The sequence below is a fragment of the Homo sapiens genome, chromosome 19 (assembly GCF_000001405.40).
Source record: "Homo sapiens chromosome 19, GRCh38.p14 Primary Assembly".
NCBI lineage: Eukaryota > Metazoa > Chordata > Mammalia > Primates > Hominidae > Homo > Homo sapiens.
This window is the reverse complement of record NC_000019.10, coordinates 33,356,475-33,382,920: the sequence shown is the minus strand read 5'-3', so window position 1 is coordinate 33,382,920 and position 26,446 is coordinate 33,356,475. Positions and strand designations below refer to the sequence as shown.

The window sequence follows — 26,446 nt, the reverse complement described above, 5'->3', positions numbered from 1 at the left end:
AGATGTATCCCATGTTCAGAGAAAACTATTTTCCTATCCACTAAGGGCAAACGGGGAGATCTAGACTTGGACACAAATACCTCTGCCTGTCTCCCCACTTTCCCCACCCCTACCCCCAGCCGTCCAGTGTGGGAACAGGAAAGACAGCAAGGCACCTGCCTGGGCTTCCCAGCTGTTTAACATCTGGACTGCTTTTTGGTATCTAATATAAAGAAAGCCACGATGAAAGACAAGTCATTGTTCCAAAGTTGTTTTTTATTTTATATTTGTTGAAAGAAATAAAATTATATTTAAAAAAAATAGAGAAATCTCACAAACTGATGAAAGCCAGGAACAAAAAGAACAAGTTAGTACTTTTTCCTGAGAGGCAGATCTAACAGCTGCAGAATGGACTTCTTCCTTCCCAGCTTTTGTGAAACAAAACAATTCTCCTAAGGCATCAGAAAGCACTGAGTGCAAAATGGGTTGTTCAGGTACAAGGTCTCAAGCCCTCTAATGGGGACTGGGAAACGTGAAAAGCTGCTACAATTTCCTCTCCTTTAATACCAAATGTTAAACTGTCTATACTTCTACTTTTTATGTAAATTTGAGAATTTCACACTCATGACCTGCATTTCGGACCTGGTCGTGTTTGATTAAAATCTTACTACTTAGTGATCTGCACTGGCATCCCAACAACTGATTGCAGGGGCCAGCAGCAGGAAGAGCTGCTCTGATCTCACCATCCGCAGCCAAAACCAGCCAAAGAGCACCCATCCCAGGAGACTCAGATGCAGCTAGAAATTTATGCTAAAGCCTAACTCCTAACTATGCTGGACCTGCCCACAAGGGCAGATCACATCCTAGTGGTTCACAGGTCACACACAGAACAAAAGTTACAAAAGTCACCTCACAATTCCCGAAGCTCTAAATTGATTCATTCCCCACACGTGGTTTCCCTAATTTTATACTGATAAATCTATCAAATTAAAAGCTTTCATTTCCAACCACTTCAATAAGATAGACAACACCATGCTTAACATTTTTGTTCTCTGCCTAATTGCTTGCTTCTGCTAAACTTTGCATTTCCATGGCTAATAGGAAAGCTTGAACCCATTTTTCCAAAAGTTCCAATCTTGTGTTCTGATTTGAAATACTGAGTACACACCCCTGATGCTTTCTCTAAAGTTTCTTTTTCAAGATACTTAAGTCAATTCATATAACTGGTATAAATTCCATGGGAGCATCGAATTCCCAAGAGATTTAAATGTCTGTAGCGCCTACCATAGGTGCTTGCTTATACATTCAAGTGACCTAATGCATCTCCAATTAAGTTAATTATGTAACACCAATCAGCTGCTAAGGAGCCAGTAGGATCCTGTGGGTGTGTCCTGGCTAGTTTTTCAAAACATCTCTCATCCTTCATGGGTAGATTCATACTCCAAGGTAAGCTGGTGTTGGACCCTAGAAACCCCTATCCTGTCTCCTGGCTCTATAGGGAGTTAACAGCCCTCCTGGGACAGCTTCTCCTGGGCTCCAGTTTTACATTCAGAAGGACCTCACGACTCTTAAGAATGGCTTTGCTGAGTTGCTGGACACCATGATGTCTTCTCCTGCCCAGAAACGGCACGGTCAGCAATCTTCCACCAACCGGAGGGTGCAACTTGAGTTTTATTCTGGCTACATCATCCCAAGTCCTAGTATGAAACAGCAATGTGGCCAAAAATGACCATGTTCAAATAAGATACCTGATAACACAAACTTTTAAATCAGTTATGACTCAGTCTCTCATCTCCAGCCCAGGCACACAAAAAATACACAAATTTGAGCTAGAACTGTGCTAAGAAAAAAAGAGAAAGAAAAGAAAGCAAAAGAGAGAAGAAAAAACGTTGACAAAGACAATCTAAACTACCAACACTGACGTAAGCCAGACTCTAGAGTCCCTACTTTAGCGACTGCCATTTTTTAGTCTCAACAAAAATGTCAATATCCTGAGTTTTATCAGCATTTTCTGAAATAATTTATGGGACACAAAAGCATATAAATGAATAAACAGAAGCAGTGGTACAAAGTCTGGAAAGCCCACTAACCAGAAAAAGAAATGTCACAACAACAATATCAAAAGATGTATTTAAGAGAAATAAATTAAAGGTTAAAACCTTACACTTTCAAGTTTTCTTAGACAATTATTTTGGGAGATGGCATGGAGTTGATACATTTCTCTAATAATCACTTGGTTAAGATCAAATACCAAAATGAGCCTTCAGAAGAAAATTTTGACTTTAAAAGTAACAGCCCCATGGCAGCTATTTTGAACACAAGAGAAACTACCTTCTGAATTAATATTCCAAACCCTCATCAGTAGCTTGTGTCATCAAACTGTTAAGATATTTTGTTTACTAACTTGGTTGTCAAAATTGTATCCAAAAAAACACTAGCATCTGCAGAAACTAAAATTTTGGTACACAAGTTTCTCTACACCACTGAGTTGGGTTTTTAGAATAAAACAATGCCAATCTAAGCCCAAAGGTATCTCAAAAACATAATTCCTATGCTTTAGTTTTATTTTTGTGTTTAATCTATTTGCTTCCTAAATGTTATTTGTATTTTTTAAGTCAATTGGCCACACACTACCTATAAGATGTGATGAAGTTTCTTTACTTAACCTGACATTGCTACTCAAAAACTTGTACTTTTGGGGGAAAACAGTACTAATTATGTTAAAACAAAGTTTATGCCATATATAAAATCACTCCAAATTACACACTCATTGCTTTCTATAGCTCTACGAATTTATAATACATAATTTAGAAGAAAATCACAAATAGATTACCATAGGTGGCATTCAACTTTTCTTAATCCAATTCAGCCTATCCATTAAAACCAAGAACCTTCTGCGCGGCCTGCCAGTTCCCCATTCCTTTTGTCAACTTAAAAAAGAAGCATTTCTTGGGAAGTCAGGATTTATTAAGAACATCGGGATCCCAGATATTTCTTTTTTTACCATATACCTTAACATTTGGGGGATTTTGATTCCCACAAAAACCTCTATCATTTAAAACCAGATATTCGAATTACAAGGCTAACATTTTTAGCTAATCAACTCTTCAGTGCTGATCCCAGAAAATAGCCTCCAATGGGTCTTTGAGTCATGGAAATGGACAACTTTCAGCCATTGACATGAGTGGTGTCGGTGGTCACACCTTTAACATTCAAGCCACAAGCTCTAAAGTCTGGAAAGGGTGAGGTCTACTGTCCTGCATTGTCGCCATCTGCTGTCGTATTTTCAGTGCTAATGGACTGTACGTTGTCTGCAAGGTTGTGTGCATGCTCAAGAAACAAATCTTTGAGTACACTTAATTCCTTGGTCAGCAATTTGATTTTTGCTTCCAACCGTTCATTCTCTTCTTTGAGCTGATTGACTCTCTGCAGTGTGTCTTGTGCTTTCTGCTTGCTTTTCAACCGGCTCTTTTTCACAGCCATGTTGTTCCTCTCTCGGCGTTGCCGATACTCGTCACTGTTTCGATCCATGGGCGAACTCTTTTTGCTCTGCTTGCTGGGAGCCACAGCTTTGCCTCCTCCCCCAGGGCCAGCAGGCACCAGCTGAGGAACCTGCTGTAAGCCGCTGGCATGTGCCTGGGTATGGATAACACTAATTCCGTTCACCCCTGGAGTGCTGTTTTGCTGCGATATCTTGCTCATTTGGGCACTCTCCCTTGCCAACACAGAACAGGTAGAAATGAGAGCAGGGTGATCAATGGTTTCCACGCTAAGCTGCCAAAAAATCTTCACATGTACCTAGTTAAAAAATAAATTGCATTAAAATATTTGAAATGACAGGATCAAATGAGATCAAACTTGTACGTACCTAACATCAGGCCAACATTAATTGATTCTGCTGAGAAAAGTCTACAGCAACTGCCAACTGTTCCAATGTTTCTGAAGTCTAAATCATTTCACTTAGAAAGGTAAGTAAGCACAGAAGCACCATCAGGCGAAACTCAGCCCACCTGGATCCCTGAGGGCACTGCCCCTCTGCGATTGTTATCAAAAATGGGAGGAAAACAAAAGACTTCCACTAATTAGGTGGCGCATGTGAACTAACAGCACTTGACAATCTCCCAGGGAGGAGCTGCAGCTGACTGTAGTAGGAGAGACACCTGCAATGAAAGGGGGGAAAAGTTTCCATTGTTGGTTCAAGTCAAAACAGAAGGCTGGGGTTGCGCACCCTGTCTCCAGCGCTCTCATGCTATCACCCCTGCGGGTTCCATGTTCTAATATGCAGAGAGGGAGTCATCGAGGACTTGAGTTCTCTCCCAGAGCTCTCTTCATCGGATATTTTGAAAAGGTAGTTTTTTGCTTTATTTTTTTAATGACCTCAAATGATAATTCCACAGTTTAACCAAATTTACTGAGTCAGTTTCTTGAATTTAGGAGCTCTGACACTCAATTTGCTCCCCATCCCACCAAGCTTGTAAAAAGTGTGTTTTTTCTTCTTGACATAATTAGTAAAACTCAAAACACACTCAACCTGAAACCACAAGGAAAGAAACAGAAGCCCTCATGATGCATCCAAGGAAGTGCGGGTCCTGGGACCCAGGCTGGACAAAGGAGCTGAGCAGCTGCCGTGCCTGTGGCCACTTCGTGCTACCAAATGAGCTCGTGTGAGCTCGGAGGACGCACCAGCTCTGAAGCATCCCTGTGCTGCTGCCTGCAGAAATGAAGGCACGGTTTCGAAAAGCAGTCACATGTGGATTACTCTGAATCCAATTAAGTCCCTACAGCTGCCCCAAGAAGTGTAAAAGTGTGACTATCCTATCAACATGAGGCCACTTCAAGACAAACTAAGTTCAGTGAACGGTGTCCACCAAGGAATCAGGGCACTCTTAGAAATTTAGAAAGCAGTGTTAGGAACATAAAACTATCCTGTTCTCTTTTCACAAAACTGCTAAAATCACATCAGTGGAAAAAATCTGGAGTCAGATTTATGCAGTGATCCCACAATGAGGGAAAGCTCAGTTAGCAAACACCAGTAGCTACACCCAAACCTTCAGCCAGGCAATTCTGTACACTGTTTATTGGTCTCTTTTTAAAAAACATCTTTGCTTTGAAAAGTCCATGTGTCATTACTTTCCATTGTTTTCAAAGCCACACAGCCGACTCTGAGCTAGTAGGTCATCTGTTCTCACGCCAACACTAAGGCAAGACAAAAAGCATCCCTCCAAACCATGAGGGCGATCCACTCCAAGCCTATCTTCAGTAATGGACAGTTCACAATTTCCCTTGGTCATCATTAGGTTGCCTCATTTTTCTTCCAGTAGAAAAGTGGCTGTTTAGTATTAATCTGAGCCACATTTAGTGCCACCTAACATTATTATTATCCATTTGGTGTCAAGTGAGAGGTGCTTTACTCAATTTTTAAGAACTTGTTTAACACCTCCCCTGAGACTGTCTTAACAATCATAATCATGTTCACCTTATTTCTCTACTTTTTTTTTAATATACCAATTATATTTTTAGCCTTTAAAGCTCTCTACAGTCAACTTGTCCATGCTCAGAGATAGCAATGATCCAAAGCGGTAGAGACCAGTGACCAGGCCAGTTCTTGTCTTGGCTGTGGCTCCCCCTATTTTAGTTTGGGCAAATCTCTTTTCTTCCATGGCTGTCTGTTCCCCACATGCAAATGAGGGATGTGGAATAGTAAGACACTTTCCTACAGACAACACACCACGACCTTCAGTCACTAACAAACAGCTCTTACTCACTACAGGGTCCACGTTCAGCAACGTTCACGCCTGTTTCCGTATCCAAAGATACAGGAACAGGGAAGGGCTTTTTCACCTCTGCCTGACTCATCTTGCAAGGTACTAGGCTGAACGTGTGTGGTAGGTGAGGTTTTAAAGGTAAGCCCTTTGGCCTGAAAAGAGTATTCACTGAACCTACAAACTGGTGAAAATGTAAGAAAGAGAAACTTGGAGATAATCAAAATAACTCCAAGAATGTTTTGTTTAGTAAGTTCTTTAACCATATAAATAGCTCTTAAAGTGAAGATTAACCAAGTAAAAGGGGATCAAAGAGCTAAGTGATTTTACACTGAAAAGGCCACTCTCATTTACGCTTTGTTCCTCCACACACATTTACTGAACACCTACAACAGGCAAAAAGTGTTTATTTGAAAGCTGGACACTCAGTCCTAAATTCAAGTCTGGCTCCTCTGTGGACAAACACTATTCCAAAGTTCAGGCTACAGGATGCAGGGCGGCGCCTGGCTTCCTTCCATGTGAATCACTCAAGGAGGAAACAGCAGGAAAGCTGAAGAGCAGTGGTTCTCAAAGTGTGGTCCCTGGACCAGCATCATCATCATCCAGGAACTCTTTAGAAATGTAACTTCTCAGGCTGCCCCAGACTTAGAATCAGGAGTTCTAAGAACAGAGCTGAGTAATCTTTTCATAAGGAGACCTCCAAGTAACTCTGAATACACTGAAGTCTGAGGGCCTCTGCTGCTGATTCCCAATGAATATTGAGAATGGTGGACTAAGTGGGTAATAGGCTTTGTTTTAATTCAAACTTAATTCAAGTAATGTTCATTCACGTCAGTCACACTGAAAGCGCAGAATGTTAGAATGAGTAAAACAAAATCAAATTTTTCTCAAGTTTCACCTGGGAAAATAAACCTATCAAGAATTTTCCTAACCCTTTTGTCCCTTTTCTCCACAGACCTAGAACCCAATATTCCTCCCCTTGCCCACCAAAATAAATTTTTCACTCGATTTCCTCAATGAAGGTCAACATTTCAAAATAGTCACAGATGTTTCTCCTTGGTCCTAACTCTGTTTAGTCTCTGGGATTTGACAATTCCACCTAAAACAAACAAAAAAAAAACTTCCCATCTACTCTTCCTCTCCATCCCAATCCCATCGAAATCACCTTAGGCCACTATCATCTCTCAGGGACACTGGTCTCTGGTCTAGCCTGCTTCCTCCAACCTCTGTCTCCAGAGCAATTGAACACTCAAACCTGAGTGAGTCATTCTCCTGGTGAAAATTCATCTCTGGCTCCAGTCTACAGGATCAAATCCAAGGTCCTGACCCTCTCTCCTCCCTCACACCACATCTTGACAGTACTAAACCACTATCTGTATCCTAAATGGTCTGTGCTTTCTCTTTTCTTTGGGCATCTGGGAAAATTTGTTCCCTAGGTCTGTCAACTCCAGCCGCATCGTGTCTCCCTGCAGATCTTCACAAGCATCTAGCGCAGGGTCCATGAGGAAGGGGACGTCCCCTTTCTGGGAGTACAGAAGTGGGTCACTGGAGCATTAGAAGAACATCAACATCATCTTTCTAACCCAATCCTTTTGAAGTGATTTACAACACACAAAACAAATAGACTATTTGTAAATGAACATCCATTAGGAGGTCATGCTCATTTTTGTCTTTTTTTTACTGATAGAGCTAGAAAGCCACAAACGCAGGAGGCCAGTGTACCTATCAATATAACAACCCATGGAACCAACCCTCCCAAGAACGCACAATACAGCTGGAATCGTGGCTACCTGTATTTACCATTACTGTGACCAAGTGAGGCAATCTTAGACCACGAGACCAAATTCAGCCCCACGAGGTCCTATTTGTCTTTACCAGGGGCTCAGCACATAGTGTTTAATTTCCCAGGGATGAAACCATCTCTCCAAGATCAGACAGCCTTGCAGACAGACATGATGTGATCTTGAGAATTTAAAGGATATTCTCAATGAAGTTTTGTTTCCATCTACTTTTTTTAAAAGCAGGTATTAAAAATAACTGAACCAGCCAAGTGTGCCCACCAAAAGCAGGAATCAAGAAGCTGAAATATGCTTCAGCTCCCTTGTACCCTGTAATTATTTAGCCTTGTTTACAGCAACTTTTTCCAGAAGCAGAATCGACCTTATGAACAGCTTATCCCAAATACTACTCAAGGGCTAACAGATGACCACATCTTAAATATCAAGAGCTTCTAGGTGTAGAATGTCTTCGTAAAGCAAGCCCTTATAGGATTTTCTTTTAAAATTTTCTCTGGGAGTCACATTTCTTTGGGAGAAGTCTGCCTTAAGTGACAACCTATTCATATAAGCAGTCAATTCTGACACAACTACCAATTTTGGTGTCACCCATCAACATTGAGACCTTTCTAAATCTTATACATTTCAGGATGCCAGATTACAGTATAAACTTCAAACAAGAGGAAAACCCAACACGTAAACCTGCGGAAGAGAAGCAACACACCAGCTGCCCTGGAAAACACTCTCCTCCCCCCGCGACACATGCATTTCCATCCTTCGCATCTGGTCACCTCCGCTGGCTGTCGGCCCTGCTCCGCTCCCTCCAACTATGCCTGCGAAGTGCTTCATTTCTTCTCTATTCGACCCGTAGGTGTTGCGTGTTCTTCTAAACTACGTTCAACAGTAAAGTGCAGGACATTCCAACAGCTCCACAAAGAAGCAAAATATTATCTCTGCAAAGTCATGCATTTAAAAACCAGTTGCTTTCCCTATTTTATTGATCAGTCTTTGAACTTCTGAACAGATTTTCGATCACCGCAAGCTGAGCCCTTCTAGAAGATCAGGATTCTAAAGCTCGACTCGGTCCACCTTCTGCTATTCTGGGAACACCCTTCATCCCCAGGGGCCAATGCGAGCCTGGCGGGTCACAGCGCCCGTTTCACCGAGAGGGGGCCGGGCTCCGCAGGGGGCATTCCCCGGCCGTTCGCGCGCTCCCGGCCCGCCGCGAGGGGCGCCCCGGGCAGCGCGGGGGTCGACGGGCGGCGCCGCAGCGCTGGGCCGCGGCCAGGAATGAGCTCAGCGTCCCCGCCGGGTGTTGCCGGCAGGTTGCATCAGACGCCGCGCGGCGCCGCCGCCCGCGCCTCCAGCCTCGCGTGGCCTTCCCGGGCCAGCGGGCCGTCTGGGGCCGGGGCTGGGTTTCCCCGAGCCGGGCCCGCACCCAGTCGAGCGGCCGGCGTCGCCGCGGCCTCCTCCTCCCCGTTCTCAGGGCGCCCGCCGCAGCCTCCTTACCTGCTCCTCTAGCCCGCCTGCCCCCAGGCGGCCTCCACTCCGAGCGGCCCCGCGCGGTGCGGCCCGAGCCGACCCAGGCCTCACAGCCCGCGAGTCAGCGAGGAGGAGCGACGGTTACGAAACCGGCAGCCTCCGCCCGTTCCGCAGCCGCGGCCACCGGCTTCCCCTGCTCGCCGGGGCCGCGCGCGCCGCCGCCGCCATCCCGGCCAATGGGAGCGCCGGCCTGCCGGAGGCACCGCCTTCTCTCGCGACGGGCAGCCCAGTCGACCAATCGTGGGCAGGCTGGCGGCGGGAGGCGGGCCCACGGTGGGGGAGTGGGTTCCGCGCGGCTGGCTCGGCGGGTGTGGCGGGAGCAGGGAGCTGCTTGCTGCGGCGTCCGCGGTCCCTAGGCAGCTCGCCCGGGCTGGCGGCGGCCTAGTGCTGTGGACGACTCAAGTTCGAGTCGGAGGCTGAAAAGCCGTCACCTTGTGGAGGCCAGACGTGCCTTTGGAAGCATTTTCTGAGGTGGTTTTGTGAACCACCGGCGACTGTTTTGGTTTCGCCGCGTCCCTTGGAAGCCCCCGCGGCGTCCCTCACAGAGTTTCTGCGAACGGAACGCCCCGCAGGCGGGCGGGCTTTGTCGCCGCAAAAAGAGTGGAGGCTGACGCGGTGGCTCCCGCCTATAATCTCAGCGCCGAGGGAGGCCGAGGCGGGAGAATGGCTTGAGCCCAGGCGTTGGAGAACCAGCCTGGACAACATAGCGAGACCCCATCTCAGTTACTAATTTTTAAAAAATCGAATGAACCCAGATGTTTCACACATAGGATTAGCATTGATGTCACATGGGTGAAATCCATGTGCTGCAGGCTGTGCTTTGTTGTTAGGGTGAGATGAAGTGAATTTCTTAAAATGATTCTCTTTGGGTGCCTTCCAGGTGCATGGGTGCGAGGTGATCTCTGAAAATAAGCAGCGATCCAGTGTGACTTAAAACTCGCCAGGAGAACCCGAAAGCGTTTTTTTTTTTTTTTTTTTTGAGACGGAGTCTCGCTCTGTCGCCCAGGCTGGAGTGCAGTGGCGCAATCTCGGCTCACTGCAAGCTCCGCCTCCCGGGTTCACGCCATTCTCCTGCCTCAGCCTCCCAAGTAGCTGGGACTACAGGCGCCCGCCACTACGCCCGGCTAATTTTTTGTATTTTTTTAGTAGAGACGGGGTTTCACCGTTTTAGCCGGGATGGTCTCGATCTTCTGACCTCGTGATCCGCCCGCCTCGGCCTCCCAAAGTGCTGGGATTACAGGCGTGAGCCACCGCGCCTGGCCCCGAAAGCGTTTTAACACCAGGAAGCAGCAGCTCGCTGGGCGGAGGGCAGAACTCGCCTGATAGGTTTAATTGCTTCCTCTTTAGCAACGCGTATCGTTCAAACAATTGAGGCTTTGAAAGAGGAAATGTTTCTTCAGCGCCCATGGAACCGGCTCGCCCCGTAAGATTGTTTCGAGGAATCAGTAAGATGATAAAGCAATAAATAAAAATTAAAAGGGGTCACAACGGTGAACAATGGGCTGGGCGCGGTGGCTCAGGTCTGTAATCCCAGCACTCTGCGAGGCCGAGGCAGGCTGATCACTTCAGGTCGGGAATTAGAGACCAGCCTGGGCAACATGGAAAAACCCCATCTCTACCAAAAATACAGAAGATTAGCCGGGTGTGGTGGCGCTGTGCCTGTGGTCCCAGCTACTCTGGAGTCTGAGATGGGAGGATGGCTTGAGCCTGAGAGGCGGAGGTTGCAGTGAGCTGAGATTGAGCCACTGCACTCCAGCCTGAGCCACAGAATGAGATCCCTGTCTCCAAAAAAAAAAAAACAGGTAATAATGCTCACAGATGCACACTTAGGAGAATAAGTGTCATTGAAACAAGTGTGTTTCTTCACGTTGGCTCTCAGTATTCTCAGCTTAAATTTCTTTTCTTCTTTTTTTTTGAGACGATCTTGCTGTGTTGCCCCAGCTGGAGTGCAATGGCACTGCCACAGCTTGATCACAGCTCACTGCAGCCTCGACTTCCTGGGCTCAAGCCATCCTCCCACCTCAGCCTCCCAAGTAGGTGGGATTACAGGCATGCACCACCACACCTAGCTAATTTTTTAAAAATGTTTTGTAGAGACAAGGTCTCACCATATTGTCCACTCTGGTCTCAAACTCCTGGGCTCAAGTGATCTTTCTGTCTCGGCCTCCCAGATTGCTGGGATTAAGGGTGTGAGTAACCAAGTCCTGCCTGAACTTGCTTTGATCAAGATTTTAGTACTATTAAAATAGGATTGTGATTTATTGCTCACAAAATCATAATTTTACCCTGAATATTTCCTAATCACTTAAAAAATGTGTAAGGGGGCCAGACACAGTGGCTCACGCCTGTAATCCCAGCACTTTGGGAGGCCGAGGCAGGCGGATCACCTGAGGTCAGGAGTTTGAGACCACCCTGGCCAACATGGTGGAACCCTGTCTCTACTAAAAATATAAAAATTAGCCAGGCGTGGTGGCGGGTGCCTGTAATCCCAGCCACTCGGGAGCCTGAGGCAGAAGAATTGCTTGAACTCGGGAGGCAAATGTTGGCAGTGAGCTGAGATCACGCCACTGCACTCCAGCCTGGGTGACAGCAAGACTCCATCTCAAAAATAAAAAAATAAAAATAAAAAAGGAAAGAAAAGAAAAAAGAAAAATGTGTAAGGGGAAAAAAAAGAACTTGCATAGGTATATTCAGTTATCCTTTGGTTTGCAAACCGCCCTGCCAAGCTGTTCCAGCATTCTTTGTATCTGTGTCTGGGCAGGCCTTCTTACACACCCAGCAAGTCTAGTCAGTGCCCAGGACACTCGGGTATTTATTTTCTTTTCAGCTGGTAGCTGGTAGTTTTTCTTCTACTCAGTTTACAAGTATGCATTTGGTGCCAACTATGTACTAAGCCGTAGGCTAAGTGTTGGAGATTCAGCAATGAGCAAGACAAACACACAGTCACTGCCCACATGGAACTTACACTTACAGCCAGGCAGACAGGCGTTTGGTAATTACACAATTTTTCTTTCTGTCACCTATGCTGGAGTGCAGTGGGGCAAGCATGGCTCACTGCAGCCTGGACCTCCTGGGCTCAGGTGATCCTCCCACCTCAGCCTCCCAAGCAACTGGGACTACAAGGCATGCGCCACCATGCTTGGCTAATTTTTGTATTTTTTGTAGCAATAGGGTTTCACCATGTTGCCCAGGCTGGTTTCGAACAGCTGAGGTCAAGTGATGCACCCACCTCGGCCTTTTAAAGTGCTAGGATTACAGGCATGAGCTACCTCCCCTGGTCCACAATTTTTCAATTACCATTTTCATAGATACTACAAGAAAGCAGTACAAGACGCTGTGAGAAATCAGAAGCGAACCAGACCTAGTCTGATGGGTCCGGGGAAGCCTGAAAAATTGACAGGATTTGGCTAGGCAATACAGAGGACGTGGGTGCAGCAGTCACAGGGAATTCTTGTCCGGGGCCCTGTGATGGGAGAAATTTAAGGCTAAAGTGGCTGAAAGTAAAGTGGAGACCAACAAGATAGGCAGGGCCATGTGGGCCCAAGAAACATTCAGATTTTTACCCTAAGAGATAGAAGCTTCCGAAAGATTTGTTCTCCATAAGGAAACGAGAGCCTGGTGAAGCCTTGGAGGTCTACTATGTAGCTTTTTTTACAAGTCACAGGGATCCAAGCCATCACAGTAAAAGAAAAATTTCCTGCATATCTCTCTGCCTTACAGTAATCAATATATATTCTACAAATCCAAAGACTGAGTAGCCTCTATAGCACTTTGGGAGGCCGAGGTGAGAGGATCACTTGAAGCCAGGAGTTCAAGACCAGCTTGGGCAACATAGTGAGACCCCTCATCTCTATTTAATTTAAAAAAATTTAAAATAAAAAAACCCTCCAAAGGACTTGGGAAGTAGGCTGTTGTATTCATTGAATATTGTAGTTACCTGACAGCCACTATGATTAACTACATTAGTTACCTAAGAGATATGAACACTAGTGTCCACAGCTTCACCGCTTGCTAGATGTGCAGCCTTGGCCAAATTACTTAACCTCTCTGTCATCTGTAAATGGAGAAGACAACAGTGTCGCTCTGAGGATTAAAGGAATTAGTGTGCTAGACCCCTAAAACAGTGCCTGCTTGGTACCTCAAAAGTATTAGCTACATGGCTGGCTAGAGTGGCTCACTCCTGTAATCCCACCACTTTGGGAGGCTAAAGCTGGAGTGCAATGGCATGAGCATAGCTCACTGCAGCCTTGAACTCCTGGGCTCATGCAGTCCTCCCACCTCAGCCTCCCAAGTAGTTAGGACTACAGACGTGCATCACCACACCTGGTTTATTTTTAAAATTTTTTGAGAGATGAAATATTTTTAGAGATGGAGTCTCACTATGTTGTCCCGGCCAGTCTCAAACTCCTGGGCTTATGATTCTCCCACCTCGGTCTCCCAAAGTACTGGGTGTGATGGGTGGCATGTGCCTATGGTCCCAGCTACTCAGGAGGCTGAGGTGGGAGGATCACATGAGCCCGGGAGGCAGAGATTGCAGTGAGCCTAGATCGGCCTGGGAAACCAAGCGAGACTCAGTCTCAAAAAATAAAAAAAGTATTAGCTATTATTACCACGATGCTCATACATGAATTATAAACAAATTGCATCCATAGAATCATAGTAGACTAAAACACACTGCAAAATGAGGCCAAGCTGTGCTTATACTGCTTTGCTGATTCAGGCACTAAACACACAAAATATTGAAGGTCATGATGTTGACCCTATGTTGTATCCTAAAAGGTGTTATTTTTAGAGCAGTTCCTTAGTTACCACACCTTATTTCATTTGTTTCCACAAGGTAGAGTGGAGGAACAATTTAGTAATTTGATTTTTTTGTATTTGAAAGCCAGATCAATAGAAGTTTACTATGCAAACTGAAATAAATTAATGTATATTTGGAAAGTTTCTGAAAAACTAAACAGCCAAGTTAACCACCTTTGACAGGAGATCCAGACTGTATCTGTAATATTTGAGAGCTGGGAAAATGTCCGTCAGATTTGAGTTTCAGTTGATGTCTTGCAGTATGTTGGTGATAATATGATTATCAATCATTCTGCATTGGTAAAGGCTCTTTGGTTGGAAGTAAGTGAAAACCATCCCTGACTAGCCTAAGCATTAAGCAAGCCCTTGGTGAAAGATGCTAGGCCACTCCATGAAATACCCAGGTCATGTCAGAACCAAGAACAGATGTCTTTGTCTCTCTCTCTCTCTCTCTCTCTGTGTGTATGTGTGTGTGTGTAAGTGTGTATGTGTCTTCCTGTTGATTTCATTATGCTTTCTGCTGGCACATAAACCTTCTTCACACGGCCAATGACAATCTCAGTGTTCACAGCTTCAGTCCCTAAAGAAGGGCCAACTCTCATTTTAAGTTCCTGTTCCAACAGTCCTAGGCAAGGACTCTTGGATTGGCACAGCTGGGTCACGTGCTCATCTAGGAATGATCAAGTGTTAAAAGCAGGTCATGATGGATGAACATGGCTGCTCTGGAGAGGTTGGCAGGGGCTGATCTCGGAGGAAAAAGAAGTGCTGGGCAGACAAACCCATCAATAGGCATTTCAAGTGGCAGATCACACTGTGGTCGCTCTGATGGAAGCCTTACTCACCCTGGCTGACTAATCTGTTCTTTCTTGTGTGATATGATCCCCATGCTTGAGGGCAAAATGTAAACCTCCAGTTTTATCTCTGGAAGCACTGTTTGAAATCCTAACAGCTGTGATGCTAAGTGTTTGTCTTAGAACATACCCACATCTCATAAGGGAGTCCTATGGATGATAGCAAAAAATCTGACACGGTCTAAGCTTGAGCAGTTGGCAAGTACTGTGAATGTCCATTCTAAAGCACTTTTCAGTTTGTCAGATTTCATTATTCCATGAGTTGAGACACATCATCTGTCTTAAGGATAAGTACATGTCATCTCTGCACACAAAGGTATGTGAGCACATGCAAATAGGTACATATCACCTGCACACATGAGGAGAGCTGCATGCATCTGTGCACACACAGGTGGCTGTCATCTTTGCACATAAGGAGAGATGTGTGCCATCTGGGATCACTTGAGGCCAGGAATTCGAGACCAGCCTGGGCAACATGGCAAAACCCCATCTCTACTAAAAATACAAAAATTAGCCCGGCATGGTGACACACGCCTGTAATCCCAGCTACTTGGGAGGCTGAGGCAGGAGAATGGCGTGAACCCAGGAGGCAGAGGTTGCAGTGAGCTGAGATAGCGCCACTGCACTCCAGCCTGGGTGACAGAGCGAGAATCTGTCTCAAAAAAAAAAAAAAAAAAAAAACATGGTGTTTGTGAGGTATGTGACACCAGTCTTTATCAAGGCAGTGTGATGGGCTTTGGAGACAGAACAGAGTGGTGTTGGCTAGCACTCAACCCAGCTACACCTCCAGTCCTCATCTGGGGAGGATTGACAGTAAATATTTCATAGAATTGTTATGAGGATTAAGTAAACCAACATGAAAAGGAGCTAGCATAGTGCCTGGCACATAGGAGGCACAAAATAACTGTTTTCTAGTGTGTCCATCCAAGAATAATTTGCTACCTAGGAGCCTGTTGTTGGTTTCCAATACTATTCTCCAATAACAGGAGCCGGCTCCTTACAGAAGTGGCTGATTCTAGGGCTGGGGCAGGAAATATACAAGGTGAGCCTGGAACATCTTGCAGTGCCAGAAAGTAAGGAAGTCCTCAGAAAGTGAAGCAATTGGGGAGGTGTGTCTCAGTCAGCTGAGGCTGCCATGACAAAATACCATAGACTTGAGGGCGTAAACAACACAACTTTGTTTCTCATGGTCCGGAGGCTGGGAAGTCCAAGATCAAGGTGCTGGCGAGGTAAATTTTACTCTGAAGCCTCTTTTCTTGGCATGGAGGTAGCTGCAATATCCCCGTGTGCTCACATGATCTCTTCTTTGTGCACTTGTTGGGGAGTCTGTGTGGGGAGAGACCGAATTCTCCAGCATGTCTTCATATAAGGGTACTAATCCCATCCCGAGTGCCCCACCCCATGACCTCATCTTAACCTTGATTACCTCCCAAAGACCCCATCTCCAAATATCATCACATGTGGGGCAGGGCTTCAACATATGAATTTGGGGAGACATAAACATTCCATCCATAAGACTATATCAAAGGGCCACAGGAGCCAAATGAAAGTGCCCCCAGTGCCCAAAGCTGGAACTATTTGAGTGGCAAAACAAATAACGTAGTATTGGATTATAACCCAAAGTATGAGATGAATATCCATGAGTCCCTACGGATGTTAATAAATGATGGAATAAATGTATAAATGACAGAGAAGAGGCAAATCTCCCATGCAGAACTCAAAATAATTGATAGTCTGCCCTCAGGCTGGAGAGCTACACTCCCTGATTCTTAACTGTGGGCTACACAGTGACTTCCTTTCGAAGCGTAGAATATGGAGGAGAAGAAAGAGTAACTTTATGGTGCAGAAACCTGACAAAGACTAGCAGGTGATCGAAGTCCACATCAGCAGTCATAAACCGTGTTGATAGCAAGTATCCTTGATAAGATAAGATGAAAATGGCCCTTTACCCTTTGGTCTTCCTCCTGAGAACTCATAACCCCAGTCTAAGAAAAACACCAAATTCCAATAGAGCAGCATTTTGTAAAATACCTACCTAAGACTTCGCAAAACCGTCAAGATCATCAAAACAAGGAAAGTCAGACAAAGTATCACAGTCTAGAGCAGCAGTCCCCAATCTTTTTGGCAAGAGGGACCAATTTCATGGACGACAGTTTTTCCACAGATAGGGAGCAGGAGGGGAGGAGAGATCATTTCGGGATGCAACTGTCCTACCTCAGATCATCAGGCATTAGAGTCTTATAAGGAGCGTGCAACCTGGATCCCTTGTATGCACAGTTCACGATAGGGTTTGTGCTCCTGTGCGAGTCTAATGCCGCTGCTGATAAGACAGGAGGCAGAGTTCAGGCAGTAACTTTTGCTCACCTGCCACTCATCTCCTGCTGGGCAGCCCGGTTGCTAATGGGTCTGTGGCTCAGGAAATAGGGACACCTGGTCTAGAGGATCCTAAAGAGACATGATGACTAAATGTGATGTGGTATCCTAGATGGGATCCTGAAACAGAAAGAGGATATTAGAAACTAAGGAAATCCAGATTTGAAGTACGGGCAATATTTAATAATGGACTTCAATTAATGATAATGTATCAATATATCTTCGTTAACTATAACAAATATATGAATGTAAGGTGTTAGTAATAGGTGAAACTGGGAAATCTATACCTCCTTCTCAATTTTTTATAAATCTTAAGTTGTTTTGAGTCATGCACAGTGCCTGTAATCCTAGCACTTTGGGAGGCTGAGGTGGGAGGATTGCTTGAGGTCAAGTTTGAGACCAGCCTGGCCAACATAGTGAGGCCCCATCTCTACAAAAAAAAATTAAAAATTAGCCGAGCATGGGCGTGTGCCTGTGGTCCCAGCTACTTGGAAGACTGAGGCGGGAGGGTGGCTTGAGCCTAGAAGGTCGAGGCTACAGTGAGCTGCGATAGTGCCATCCCACTCCAACCTGGGCAACAGACCGAGACCCTATCTCTTACAATAATTAATTAAAAATAAAATAGTTCTGAGAAATTTTTTTAAGTATTTGGGATGCATTGCAGTCTTAACATTAACCTAAAACAGTACTGTTTTAAAACATTAACAACCCAGGCCAGATTTTAGCCAAATGGGTAAAGAAGAAAGCAGCAGAAGAGCCTCAGGCCCCACTCCCTCCCTCAGTCCACGAGCGGTGACTGTGCTTCTGCCAGGCAAACCCAAATCATGCAGAGAAATGGAGCAGAGAGGGAGAGTAGATCTACAGGAGCTCCTCCAGGAGGAGAGAGGGATAGAAAGAAGGAAGGGGAGGTGGAGGGGTCCACTTTGAGACTGCAGGGTGACGGAGAAGCCCAGGACACCATTTTTGGGTCTAGTGGGGAAGCCCCATCCTCCGCTGAAGGTCCAAACACCAGGTCAACCCCTGGAAGCCACAAGACTGAGCTGAGAAGGAAATGAGAAGCTTCCCAGACAGAGGGACATGGTTGTCCCTGGCACTCATTCTCCTATTCTCTTTCATCTGTCTCAGTCAATAGATGTTGATTGAATTCCTGCTCTGAGCCAGGCCCTGTCCCAAGTTCTGGGAGTCCTGTGAGGACCAAGCCAAGGGGCTGGAGAAGGGGGCAGGGGGGAGCTGGTGCCCAACAGATGAGACAGGGCCAAGGAGACACAGCCAGGCCAGGTGGGCTTGTGGCCTAGAATCCCTGTGCTTAGCGTCAGGAATCTGCGTCCACTCCTAGGCCGCCGTGACTGCTCCTTTTTCATCTTATTTTTCGTTTAGATTCCCACGGTAATAATCAGTTCCTGTGTCAGCCTCAACTGGGATTCATATTGACTTGGGTTTAGCAGGTGGAGTCGCCAGTCTATTTGCATAAATGTTGGGGTTTTGGCTGGAAGAGGAAGGTGGGGTTGTTGTCTTTCCTTTGCAGAGGTTTCTGGGGGGGAACTGAGGTGCAGAAGAAACTGGGATTTGGGGAGAGACAAGTGCTGTTTTGTAGTCCTTACAAAGAGAGTGACTTTCCCCCCGACCTCCGTGAACGATCCCCTGTGCCTTCAGCCAAGTGGGAACTGGAGTGAATGCAGAAACCACTTTGATGCCTCTAGGAAGTGATTCTTGTAAAAATCAGGAATCCGTGCCCTTGGCATAGGGGTATCAACTTTGTGAAGAAGAAGAAGAAGGAGCTGAAGCAGAGGCTCCACTGAAGCCCTCAGGAGACTTTGGGGGCCTTAAATATGAATGGCCTGGGTACATTATGGGGGGTGCCCAGGAACTCACTAAGGCCGGGCACCCTCAGAAACACTTTGTGGTGGAGGTCAGAGCATTTGTTCTGTTACAGTGAAAAAGATCCAACTGCACCCATAGGTGGGAAGCCCTGAGCCTACTTGAGAGCCAAAAGAGCAAATGGAACATTCCAGTTTAATCTCAGCTAGACGACGGATAAAACTAAAAGTCGCAGCAGCCAGAATGGCTTGTGAGATCGGAGTGTGTCTAGGGCAGAGGGAAGTGGGAGAGGGAAGGAGGAGGATTCTTCCTTCTAGGGAGAGGGAGGTGGAGGATGATCAAGAAAAGCTGGAAATGCCCGCCTCATTCTGATATGCCATCTGGTGGGCCATTTCCTCCCAATTCCATATATCCAAATCCTTCCCATTCCCCAAACTCCAGTCTCAGTCCTGGCCTGTGTGTATACTTTGTTCTTATAGAGAAGATTGTCTCTCTTTCTCTCTCTCTCTCTGTGTGTGTGTGTGTGTGTGTGTGTGTGTGTGTGTGTGTGTGTGCTTTAGAGACAGGGTCTTGCTCTGTCACTCAGGCTGGAGTGCAGTGACACCATCATGGCCTGCTACTACAGCTTTGACCTCCTGGGCTGAAGAGTTAAGAGAGACTCCTGTTTCAGTCTCCTGAGTAGCTGGGACTACAGTTGTGGACCACCATGCCTGGCTAATTTTTCAATTTTTTGTAAAGACAGGGTCTCAATATGTTGCCAAGCTGGTCCTGAATTCCTAGGCTCAAGTGATCCTCCCACCTAAGCCCCACAAATGGGGATTACAGGCATGAGCCCCTGTGCTTGGCAAGACTCTGTTGTATATACATATTACTGTGCTATGTACCTATGAGACTTTAGAAAACACAGCTGGGGAAATGGGTCCCTCCAACCTGAATGTGGGATCTGGGAGGCACACAATGACCTCCACTGCAATCCACTTCTTGCGTCACTCGGATCCACTTCTTACTTACACGTAGTAAGTTAATCCCATCAGTGAACAGCTTCTCTGGGATTCTGGATGGCCTCCTTTCCTGGAGAAGCCTCCAAGAGGACAGCTAGTGGGATGAAGGATGAACAGCAGCTCCTACTGCTACAGCTGACCTCAAGGCTATAGCTGGTTTTCATCATCTGCCTCCCCTACTACCCATTCGAGATTCCCTCACCCTTGGCTAGCACACCTCTCCTGGTCTAAGTAGTTCACCTGTGGGGTGACCCACACCTTCATGTCTGAGAAATCTGCATGCTCTATTACCATGTCCTTCTCAAGTCTTGGCTGCTGCACCTGTTGATTTACCATCAAACTTGGGCAGGGGATCATATCTGCAAAAGAAGTACAGGAAGAATAAATCAGAGGCTAATGAGATGGTTACCTACAAGAGGTATATGGGAACTGGGTAGAAACAGTGAGAGAGTTGCCGGATGATGGCTCAGATCTGTAATCCCAGCACTTTGGGAGGCCGAGGCAAGAGGATCACTTGATGCCAGGAGTTTGAGACCAGCCTGGCCAACATAGCAAGACCTTTTCTCTACAAAACGTATTTAAAAATTAGCTGGGCGCAGTGGTGCACCTGGAAGACACCATCTTAGCCTAAGTGATCACAGTTCACATCACCAGCAATAAAACACGGAGACATCACGGACCCCCTGCTGCAATGCACCAAGAAGTGCACAGTCTCACTCCCATGTGGCATTCTTGCCAAATACACAGTCTCAATCCGATCATGAGGAAATATCATAGAAACTCAAGCTGAGGAACATTCTATGAAATAGCTGCCAGTACTGTTCAAAAATATCATCATGAAAAATGAAGAAAGGCTGAGAAACTGCTCTGTAGTGGAGGAGATGAAGGGGACATGACAACAATGTCCCATAGGCTGCTAGAATGGATTCTGGAACAGAAAGGACATCAGTGGGAAAACGAGAAAATAATCAGATTGGATCTGTAAGTCTGTTAATAGTATTATGTCAATGTTATTTTCCTTAATTTTTTTTTGTCTTTTTTTTTTTGGTGGGTTTGGGTTTTTTGGTTTTGTTTGTTTGTTTGTTTGAGCCAGGGTCCTGCTCTGTTGCCCAGGCTGGAGTGCAGTGGGGCAATCTTGGCTCTCCTGGGCTCAAGGGATCCTCTCACCTCCACCACCCAAGTAGCTGGGGCTACAGGCATGTGCCACCACACCTGGCTAATTTTTAAATTTTTTGTAGAGACGGGGTTTTGCTATGTTGCCCAGGCTGGTCTCAAACTCCCAGGCTCAAACAGTCCTCCTGCCTCGGCCTTCCAAAGTGCTGGGATTACAGGTATGAGCCACTGCACCTGGCCAATGTTATTTTCCTACTTTTGATCATTGTTCCGGTCAGATCAGCTTTTGCTGGGAGTGGGGAGTGGAAGTAGCCTTGTGCTGAAGAGACAGGCACCCCTCCCTCACCACCCTGTACTAGGCAGGGTTATACATAGCACTGGTTAGCATGGCAGAGAACAGGAGATAAGTCTTCCAAGGCACACAAGACAGTATGAAACAATTCCAGGGAGCGCAGCAGCCATGGCCAGCCACCTTGTGCTCAACAATGGCACCAAGATGCCCATCCTGGGGCTGGGCACCTGGAAGTCCCCTCCAGGCCGGGTGACTGAGGCCGTGAATGTGGCCATCAATGTCGGGTACTGCCACATTGACTGTGCCCACGTGTACTAGCATGAGAATGAGGTGGGGGTGGCCATTCAGGAGAAGCTCAGGGAGCAGGTGGTAAAGCGTGAGGAGCTCTTCATCGTTAGTAAGCTGTGGTGCACATACCATGGGAAGGGCCTGGTGAAGGGAGCCTGCCAGAAGACCCTCAGCAGCCTGAAGCTGGACTACCTGGACCTCTACCTTATTCATTGGCCGACTGGCTTTAAGCCTGGGAGGGAATTTTTCCATTGAATGAGTTGGGTAATGTGGTTCCCAGTGACACCAACATTCTGGACACATGGGCAGCCATGGAAGAGCTGGTGGATGAATGGCTGATGAAAGCTATTGGCATCTCCAACTTCAACCACCTCCAAGTGGAGAGGCTCTTAAACAAACCTGGCTTAAAGTATAAGCCTGTGGTTAACCAGATTGAGTGCCACCCTTACCTCACTCAGGAGAAGTTAATCCAGTACTGCCAGTCCAAAGGCATCGTGGTGACCGCCTATAGCCCCGTTGGCACTCCCAGCAGGCCCTGGGTCAACCCCGAGGACCCTTCCCTCCTGAGGGATCCCAGGATCAAGGCGATTGCAGCCAAGCACAATAAAACTACAGCCCAGGTCCTGATCCGGTTCCCCATGCAGAGGAATTTGGGTGTGATCCCCAAGTCTGTGACACCAGAACTCATTGCTGACAACTTTAAGGTTTTTGACTTTGAACTGAACAGCCAGGATATGACCGCCTTACTCAGCTACAACAGGAATTGGAGAGTCTGTGCCTTGGTGAGCTGTGCCTCCCACAAGGATTACCCCTTCCATGAAGAGTTTTGAAGCTGTGGATGCCTGCTCATCCCTAAGTGACCTATACCTGTGTTTCCTGTCTCATTTTTTTCCTTGCAAATGTAGCATGGCCTGTGTCACTCAGCAGTGGGACAGCAACCTGTAGAGTGGCCAGCAAGGGCATGTCTAGCTTGATGTTGGATCTGAAGAGCCCTGTCAATAGAGTAGAAGTCTCTTCCAGTTTGCTTTGCCCTCCTTTTTGCCCCACTGGGGAAAGTACAACCTGAATACCCTTTTCTGACCAAAGAGAAGCAACATCTACCAGGTCAAAATAGTGCCACTAACAGTTGAGTTTTGGCTGCTTGGAACTGTAATCCCTTCAGCAAGACTTCTCTTTGCCTCAAATAAAAAGTGTTTTTGTGGAGAAAAAAAAAAGGACTGATACAGTGAAATATATGTTAAAATATAAAACATTTGAACAAAAAGAGCTTCTTATTTCAAAAAGTGTGAACAACTTTATGATAGTAACAAAAGCTTCTATTTTAAAAAGCCCTTTGTATTTATAGAAAGCATATATTTGCATGTATTCTTTGTAATAGTATATTTGAATGTTGTGGAATCAGAAACTTGCAAAAAATCCAAAATTCTAAATACTATAGAAAATCATCATAAAAAGTCACAGACAGGTAAAAATATGATGTTCACGGATGTTCACAGGTGAACAGATAAAATATAGTATATACACACAATGGAATACTATGCAGCCTTAAAAAGGAAGGAAATCCCATCACTTGCCACAACCTGGATAAACGTTGAATAAAATAAGCCAGGCATAAAAGGACAAATACCAAATGATTTCAGTATAGGAGGTATTAACACAGTCAAATTCGTAGAGGCAGCAGAATGGGGGTTACCAGGGCCTGGGAGCAGGAGAGAGATGGGGAATCATTTAGTGGGTGCAGAGTTTCAGTTCCGCAAGATGAAAACGTTCTGGAGTTCTGCTTCACAACAATGTAAATACACTTAACACTACTGAGCTGTATACTTAAAAATGGCTAAGATGGTACATTTTATGATATGTGTTTTTACCGCAATAAGATGAACGAATGAGTGAATAGCTTTAGTTAAAACAAAAGGTCACAGGTGATGCTGAGTTCTGTGGCTAATAGAGGAGCTATTCGTTCATTTCGGATAGCCATAATCCATCTTCTGTGCGATAGGCACTTGGCTAAATGTTGGAGTTAAATAATAATTAAGAAATGACCCCGTTTGTCAGAGTGTCTTCCATCTAGTTGGAGAGAGAGAGAAGTAAACAGTGTAAGGAATGTTCCACGTAGTGGGAATAAGCGCTGGGTGCCGGGAGAATACAAAGTAGGGGTGTTTCATGTGGTCTTGGGGTGGGGGAAGGAGTGGTAGGGTGGTCACTCGCGTCTTCTTGCTGGAGTACTGAAGGTGAGTAGGAGCTAGCCAGGCAAACGTGCGGAATGAAAGACCAGGTGATCGCATAGTGAGGAAGCCAGGGGCAGGGAAAGGCTTGGTGTGGCCAGGATTTAGGATTGGAAAGGGCTCATGGGATTGAGAAGACTGGAGGCGGAGGCCTTGTCAAGGAGTCTGGATCTTGAGATCAATAAGAAGTCATGAAAGCTTTTAAGGAGGGGAATCATATATCCAAATTTGCATCTTAAAAGGATTATTCTGGCTTCTATGGTGAGAAACAGTTTAGAGGAGAGCAAGACTGGAGACAGGAATATTAGTAAAGATTTAACAGTAAGGAAGTGACCAGCGGCCCTTGCAGTAGGCTGAGAAATGAATGAGAGAAGAAACAATGAGTTAGACAACTTTTTCTAGAAGTGTAGCTTTGAACGAGAGGAGATAGCAAGATGGCTGCAGGAGAATCTGGAGCCTAAAGATGTGTGCGTGAACATGTGTGTGTTCGAGTGGGAGGGACGGGCATGTTTAAACACAGACAGGGAGGACAGAGCCGAGCTGTATCCTAAGGGTATGGGAGGAAACCAGATCTCACTCAATAGAGCTTACTTTAGCTTAGGAGGAAGAGAGAGGGCAGGACTCTACTCTTATTTTAATAATAGGGAAAGAAACAGATGGATCTAAGTGTAAGTTTTTAGGTTTGCCATTAGAAAGTTAAGGGGTTTCTATATCATGGGTTTTGCTCTGTAAAATAGAAGGAAAGTTCATCCTGGAGGAGGAAATGGAGAGATGGTGATTTACAGAGAGAGTTAAGTGTGAAATGAGAGCTAAGAAGAATAGTAGAAAGAATGAGCTGACCCTGGGCCAGTCATGGTGGCTTATACCTGTAATCCCAGGACTTCGACAGGCCGAGGCCAGCAGATCACTTGAGGTCAGGAGTTCGAGACCAGCCTGGCCAACTTGGTGAAACCCTGTCTCTACTAAAAATACAAAATTTATCCCAGTGTGGTGGCAGGCACCTGTAATCCCAGCTACTCGGGAGGCTGAGGCAGGAGAACCATTTGAACCCAGGAGGCGGAGTTTGCAGTGAGCAGAGATCATGCCACTGCACTCCAGCCTGGGTGAAAAAGTGAGACTCCATCTAAAAAAAAAAAAAAAGAGCTGACCACGAAAAAGTGAGACTTCAGGGCAGCATGGGGCTGGAGATAGAATTATGTCCAGTGTATTTGTGTGGTTGTTTCTAGGAACACTACCATCAAAGATATTTCTTGGAATCTGACTTAGGAGCTTTGCCTGGCCTAGGCCAGTGCATCTGGATTTGAAAGGCTTGGGGAAAAAAACTATGAAGAGACACTGTTCTAGCACAACTCTAAATATAGTAGTAAGTTATATTTATTAAAAGAATGTGATATTGGCCCAAGAGTTGGCAAATAAACCAGTGGAACAGAACAGACAGCCCCAAAGCACAGACAGTTACATGTGGGAATGTACAGGATAAAAATTTGGCCCTCTAAGTTACTGGGGGAAGAAAGGCTTAGTCAATAAATGGTAAAGTGACAATTTGCTGTTGTTAGACACCTACCATGCATTGTGCATGAAAATAAGTTCTGAATGAAAATTAAGATCTAAGTATTTAAAAAGCCCTTTTTGTATCATTAGAGGGAAATATTTTTATAAACTTGGGTTAGAGAAAGTTCTAGTAATGATCTCATGAGACCTAGGATCCAAAAAAGAACAAGCAACATATTTGACCACCTAAAATTAAAAAGTAGGCCGGGCACGGTGGCTCCTGCCTGTAATCCCAGCACTTTGGGAGGCCAAGGCAGGCAGATCACTTGAGCCCAGGAGTTCAAGAACAGCCTGGCCAAAATAGTAAAACCCTGTCTATACAAAAAAATACAAAAAGTAGCCAGGGATAGTGGCGTGTGCCTGTAGTCCCCACTACTCAGAAGGCTGGGGTGGGAGGATAACCTGACCCTGGGGAGGTCGAGGCTGTAGTGAGCGGTAATCCCACCAATGAATTCCAGCCTGAGTGACAGAGTGAGACCCAGTCTCAAAAAAATAAAATAAAAATAATAAATAAATAAACTCTGTGTGACCAAAAGAAAAAAGAGTTTTTTTTCTTTGTTATTACACTCTACAGCTATTAAGAAAAAAGTAGAGGTTTAAGTTAAAGGGTTAAAGAATAAACTACCAAATGGGAGAAAACATTTGTAACATGTATAACACGTACGGGGTTACTATTAATATATGAGCTTCTATACATCAAGTCTACCACTCTGCATTTGTCTCCTTAATTATAAATTAAGTGGCCATATATGTGTGGATTTATTTCTAGACTCTCTGTTTTGTTACAATGGTCTGTCTACACTAGTGCTAATATCACAGTCTTTTATGATAGCATAATAATATGCTATGGTAAACATAATAATAAGGTTTGACATCTGGTAGTATAAATCCTCCAAATTCATTTTTCAAAATAAAAAGGGAAAAAATTTGTGATAATGTGTTTTCTCAAATGCAATGGGTAGAAACTCAGATATTTGTTATGCCATTAATATTTAACTCCTATTTTATGAATGTTAATTTATACCTGCTCAATATTTAATAATACCATAATAGAAAACTATACACCTACTAACATC

At 45.3% G+C, this 26,446-nt stretch overlaps 1 protein-coding gene and 1 pseudogene across 2 annotated transcripts, besides 2 other annotated features; one reads left to right on the top strand and one right to left on the bottom strand.

The window, feature by feature from the left end:
• Nucleotides 1-234: 234 nt before the first annotated feature.
• On the bottom strand, nt 235-9,212 carry CEBPG (CCAAT enhancer binding protein gamma). Of its 2 annotated transcripts, none has more exons than NM_001806.4 (2): nt 9,026-9,212; nt 235-3,777 (listed from the first exon to the last, which is right to left on the bottom strand). In NM_001806.4, exon 2 carries the CDS (start codon nt 3,679-3,681, stop codon nt 3,229-3,231), a length of 453 nt encoding a protein of 150 aa, NP_001797.1. In that variant the 5' UTR covers nt 3,682-3,777; nt 9,026-9,212; the 3' UTR covers nt 235-3,228. The 2 variants fall into 2 exon arrangements, with proteins under 2 accessions (NP_001797.1, NP_001239225.1); NM_001252296.2 differs by lacking the exon at nt 9,026-9,212 and adding an exon at nt 8,308-8,808.
• Nucleotides 4,425-5,118: an enhancer, noted in NCBI's record as "H3K4me1 hESC enhancer chr19:33868709-33869402 (GRCh37/hg19 assembly coordinates)". NCBI's record gives its function as "activates a minimal SCP1, AML or CMV promoter by ChIP-STARR-seq in naive and primed H9 embryonic stem cells {active_cell/tissue: H9 hESC(naive and primed)}" and the evidence as "EXISTENCE:reporter gene assay evidence [ECO:0000049][PMID:30033119]".
• Nucleotides 8,616-9,425: a silencer, noted in NCBI's record as "silent region_10497". NCBI's record gives its function as "represses an Ori minimal core promoter by ATAC-STARR-seq in GM12878 lymphoblastoid cells {active_cell/tissue: GM12878}" and the evidence as "EXISTENCE:reporter gene assay evidence [ECO:0000049][PMID:35858748]".
• On the top strand, nt 21,456-22,795 carry AKR1B1P7 (aldo-keto reductase family 1 member B1 pseudogene 7; annotated as a pseudogene).

What these genes read in the sequence shown, in the direction of transcription:
- CEBPG (NM_001806.4), bottom strand. Translation starts at nt 3,681, where the DNA reads ATGAGCAAGATATCGCAGCAAAACAGCACTCCAGGGGTGAACGGAATT.